The sequence below is a fragment of the Homo sapiens genome, chromosome 2 (assembly GCF_000001405.40).
Source record: "Homo sapiens chromosome 2, GRCh38.p14 Primary Assembly".
Taxonomy (NCBI): Eukaryota; Metazoa; Chordata; class Mammalia; order Primates; family Hominidae; genus Homo; species Homo sapiens.
The window spans coordinates 10,252,880-10,256,953 of NC_000002.12; the positions used below are offsets into that span (position 1 = coordinate 10,252,880).

Consider the following 4,074-nt stretch of genomic DNA (forward strand, 5'->3'; position numbering starts at 1 on the left):
TTATTTTCTGCCCTTGCCTCTCTCTGCTGCCTTCTGTGGGACCTGGTGCCTCCAAGTTCACCCTTCTTGACTTCCTTTTCTGTTATTTTAATAGCATTCACTGGAGGAGGAAATAAACAGGTGTGTTTAAGTGGACGTTCTCTGGGCGATTTTTCTGTTTTTTTGTTTTGTTTTGTTTTTTGAGACGGAGTTTCACTCTTGTTGCCCAAGCTGGAGTGCAATGGTGCAATCTTGGCTCACTGCAACCTCTGCCTCCCATGTTCAAGCAATTCTCCTGCCTCAGCCTCCCGAGTAGCTGGGATTATAGGCGTGTGCCACCAGGCCCAGCTAATTTTTTGTATTTTTAGTAGAAATGGGGTTTCACCATGTTAGCCAGGCTGGTCTCGGACTCCTGACCTCAGGTGATCCCCTGCCTCAGCCTCCCAAAGTGCTGGGATTACAGGTGTGAGCCACCGCGCCCTGCCCCCTGGGTAATTTTTCTGTCCCTGAAGTTGGCATACGCCCACCCAGTGTCAAATTGAGCTCTCCCAGCAGGACAGGACTCCCCAGCAGCTGCCTGCCTCTCGCTCCTTGCTCTGACTCCGAGGGGCACACAGTTGCTTCTTCAAGCCTCCAGCCTTTTGCTCACGCCATTCCCCTTCCCAAAAACACCCTTCCTGGCTAAGACGCAGTGAGGGTGCGCCTCTTCTGGAGAGCTGCAGGACTCTTCCTGTTCCAGCCCCCAGGCTCCTGCATTTGTCTCCCGTTTGTCTCCTACTCCTGGAGGGCAGGATGGAGCACCAGCTTTAACCCACAGGGGAGGCTCTTCACATGCTGCCTGACCAAGCAGGACTTCCCAGCAGCTCCTCCTTCCGAGGAGCCCAGAGGGCAGGGCTGTGCTTGGGGCGGTGGGGCCTGCATGTCCTAGAGATTGCCGCCTCAGGTCACATACTTTCCCTGTTTATTTCCCTGGGGCTGTCCCCTTCCTTGGAGGCTCTCAAATTCGAATGTTCATGGCAGTCACTATGAACAGGCAGCCCAGGCCCAGCCCAAGAATTCCAGTCAGGGCGGAAGGTCGGGCAGGACTCAGGGCTCTCAAGATGATTCTGGGGCAAGAGGCCCTCAAGCCGGGTCTTCCTTGTCTACAGAGGGCTAGGGAAGAGGCTGTGGGTGCTTGGGCCCCAGGATTAAAGAAGTGAGCCCTGAGGCGAGTGTGGTGGCTGCTCCCTGGAAATGTGGGTCTCGGGGAGCGAGGCCAGCTTTGGCAGCTCCTCCGTCCATGAAGAGCCCCTGTCCCCCTGACTGCCTGGAGACCAGGGCGGGCGCTGGGAGAGAACAGGGTGTTGGGAAACCCTCTCAAAGGCCTTGCCTCCAACACAGCCTCCCAGGTTCTGCTGGCCTGGGGGAGGAAGAGGGCTGACGGGTGGGGCTGGGTGTGGTCGACTTCTGGCTTGAGACGTTGCTACCAGCGACTTCATGAGACTCTGATCTGGAGCCCCACATTCAGAGCAGGGTGACACGCTGGGGACATCAGCCTCCCAAGCAAGGGGACAGAAGACTGTGATTCCCCTGGTGGCTGGAGAGAGCTGGTCTAACTCAGGACACGGCATTCCTGGCGAGCTTGCCCTGAGCCGGGCCTGGCGCGGCGGTTCGGATCTTCCCAGCCCCGTATCACTAGGGATGGGGGGAAAGGCAGGGAGGCAGAGCTGTGCAGGTCAGTGGCCAGATGAAACAGAGGACGCTCAGTCAGGTCTGAATTTTAGATAAACACCTAATGAGTTTTTAGTATCTGTCCCCAAAGGGCATGGGCATCCTATATTTTCGTCTGCTCCATCTGGCAACGCTGTGTGCAGGACTCTAGCGCTGAGATCTGAATGACCCCAGCAGGCCTGGCCCAGGGCCGGCTTGCCCAGAGGCAGCTGGAGGGCTCCCGTGTTCATCAGCCTCGCTGGGGCTGGGTTCGCAGCTGCTGAGTCACAGGTGCAGGGGGAGGCAACCTCCTGGGCCTCATTCGTCTGAAGCCTGGGAGGATATGGGCTTGGAGCATCAGCTCACCCTGAGGGAAACAATGAGTTGTTCTGGGAAATGATGCCGATACCCTGGGATAACCTGGCATACCCTGGGGTGCCCTGGCCGGGATGCGCCGGCTGCTGTTAGTAACGACGTCAGGAGTGCTCTTCGTGCCAGGAGTGCTCTTCGTGCCCCGTCTCCGGGGTGTCCTGGGGAGCAGACACTAGTGTGTTCTCCTCATTGCCGATGGGGACTCGGAGGCCCAGGGAATGTGGCAGGAAGACTGGCTGGAGGGACTCAGAGCCAGGGCTGTCGGAGTCTAAGCCCCGACCAGGAGCCGGGTGGACTGGCCCCTCCCTCTGGTCACAGCTACGGAGTCTAGATCCTGACTCAGCGGACAGTCGCTTGCTGTGTGCATGGCACTGGGGTCAGCCTTCACCCCCGGAGGCCCCCTTACTGTCGACCCACTTTATTGATGAGAAAACCGAGGTCAAGGACGTTAAGTAACTGCTTGAGAGGCCCACGCTAGGAAGCAGAAGAACCGGCCTCAAGTCCAGGGCTGTTGGCGCTCAGTCCAGTTCTCCCAGAGGTCCTCTGTCCCAGGTGCTCCTGAGGACAATGCCAGGTCGGGCTGGCAGAGCCCCTCTTCTGCAGTGGGGGCAGGATGAGGTTATGAGGTTAAAGAGTCTCACTGGAGAGGGAGCCACACCCTGCAGAGCCACACTGACCCCTCGGGGCCTGGGAGGCAAGCCGGCTGGGAAGGAGGGGGTGTCCTTGGCCACTGAGGCCAGTTCCTGGTGTGCAGGGAGCAGGGCCAGGCTGTGCTACCAGGAGGGACAGATGCTTCCTCATGCAGCGTGACATGGTTCACTCTTCAGGGCAAAAAATGGATTCTTGCCTTAGCCAGGTGAGCTTGCTCTGTGGCCACCTGTGCCACAGCTGGTCAAGCTCCCCATTAGAGAAGTCACACTGGAGTCTGGGTGCACCCCCCAGCACCCACACACGGGCCAGAACCCACATTTCCTTCTTTGAAGCCAGCCCAGCTAGGGCAGAGCACTTCTAGCCAAAGCCTGAAACTGCCAGTTCACCCAGAAACGAAATCATCCCCCTAAGAGACTGACAGAGCTCCCCAAGGGAGGGGCAGAGAGTGCCAAATTGGGGGTGGGGTGGGGGTCAGAAAACGAGTGTTGGGAGGGGCGGCTTGCTGAAGAGAGGGCACATTCGGGCCAACTCTTTCTTCATCTGGCCCCGGTGTGTGAGGCCTCCTTCCCACAGGCCTTGGAGGGGGCGAGAACAGTCATGGGCAGGGTCGGTGCCCACATCCCCTGCTCTCGCTGCTGGAGTGGTTCTGCCGGCTAAGTAGGAACCTGGGCAGAGGGAGCCCAGCCTGCAGGCCCGCAGACACCAGGAGAAGCCAGGGGAGGGCAGGTATGGGAGCAGCGGCTATCCAGGCATGGTGCCTGAAGCTGGGGGCAGGGCCAGAACCAGTTCTGGGTGCCAGCATCGGGGTCTGCATCTGCAGTGTCAACCTGAGAGTTTGGGGGTGGAGCAGAGATCAAGGTGGGCCCCAAGGTGGACAGGGACACAGGTGGGTCCAAGGCGCGGGTGACCCGGTGGGGAAGCAGCTGGGTGAGATTTGAGCGATGGACACAGCCAGCACAGCAGGTGCCAGGGGCCTGGGGGAGAAGCAGGCTGGACAGCCCAGGCCTCGGCTCCTTCTGCTTCCTCACTCCCTGTCCCCAGTGCAGGGCGTCTGCTGACCTCGTCCCTGCAGGGTCTGTCCTGACTGGGACCAAGAGGCAGCTGCCTGGCGTGTGGTCGCAGCCACAAGGGCAGCCTCCTGAGACCCTCCACCGCTGGCCTGGTGGCACCTCTCACGGGCAGTGTGTTTGCAGCAGCTCAGCACCCAGCGTGCTACACTGCAGAGGTAAACAAACTCTGCCTTCCGAGGCGAGGCGTCCACAGCTCCGGGCCCACCACAGCTACTGCTTGGGCTATTGCCAGGAAATGAATGTGGTTAAGACTTTCTAATCTGTGAAGTGAGAATGCTCGCTCCCAGGGACATGGAGGAGAAAGGCTGCAGGA

The 4,074-nt window shown here is 59.4% G+C and overlaps 2 annotated features.

The window, feature by feature from the left end:
- Positions 378 to 999: an enhancer, noted in NCBI's record as "H3K27ac-H3K4me1 hESC enhancer chr2:10393383-10394004 (GRCh37/hg19 assembly coordinates)". NCBI's record gives its function as "activates a minimal SCP1, AML or CMV promoter by ChIP-STARR-seq in naive H9 embryonic stem cells {active_cell/tissue: H9 hESC(naive)}" and the evidence as "EXISTENCE:reporter gene assay evidence [ECO:0000049][PMID:30033119]".
- Positions 2,242 to 2,861: an enhancer, noted in NCBI's record as "H3K4me1 hESC enhancer chr2:10395247-10395866 (GRCh37/hg19 assembly coordinates)". NCBI's record gives its function as "activates a minimal SCP1, AML or CMV promoter by ChIP-STARR-seq in naive H9 embryonic stem cells {active_cell/tissue: H9 hESC(naive)}" and the evidence as "EXISTENCE:reporter gene assay evidence [ECO:0000049][PMID:30033119]".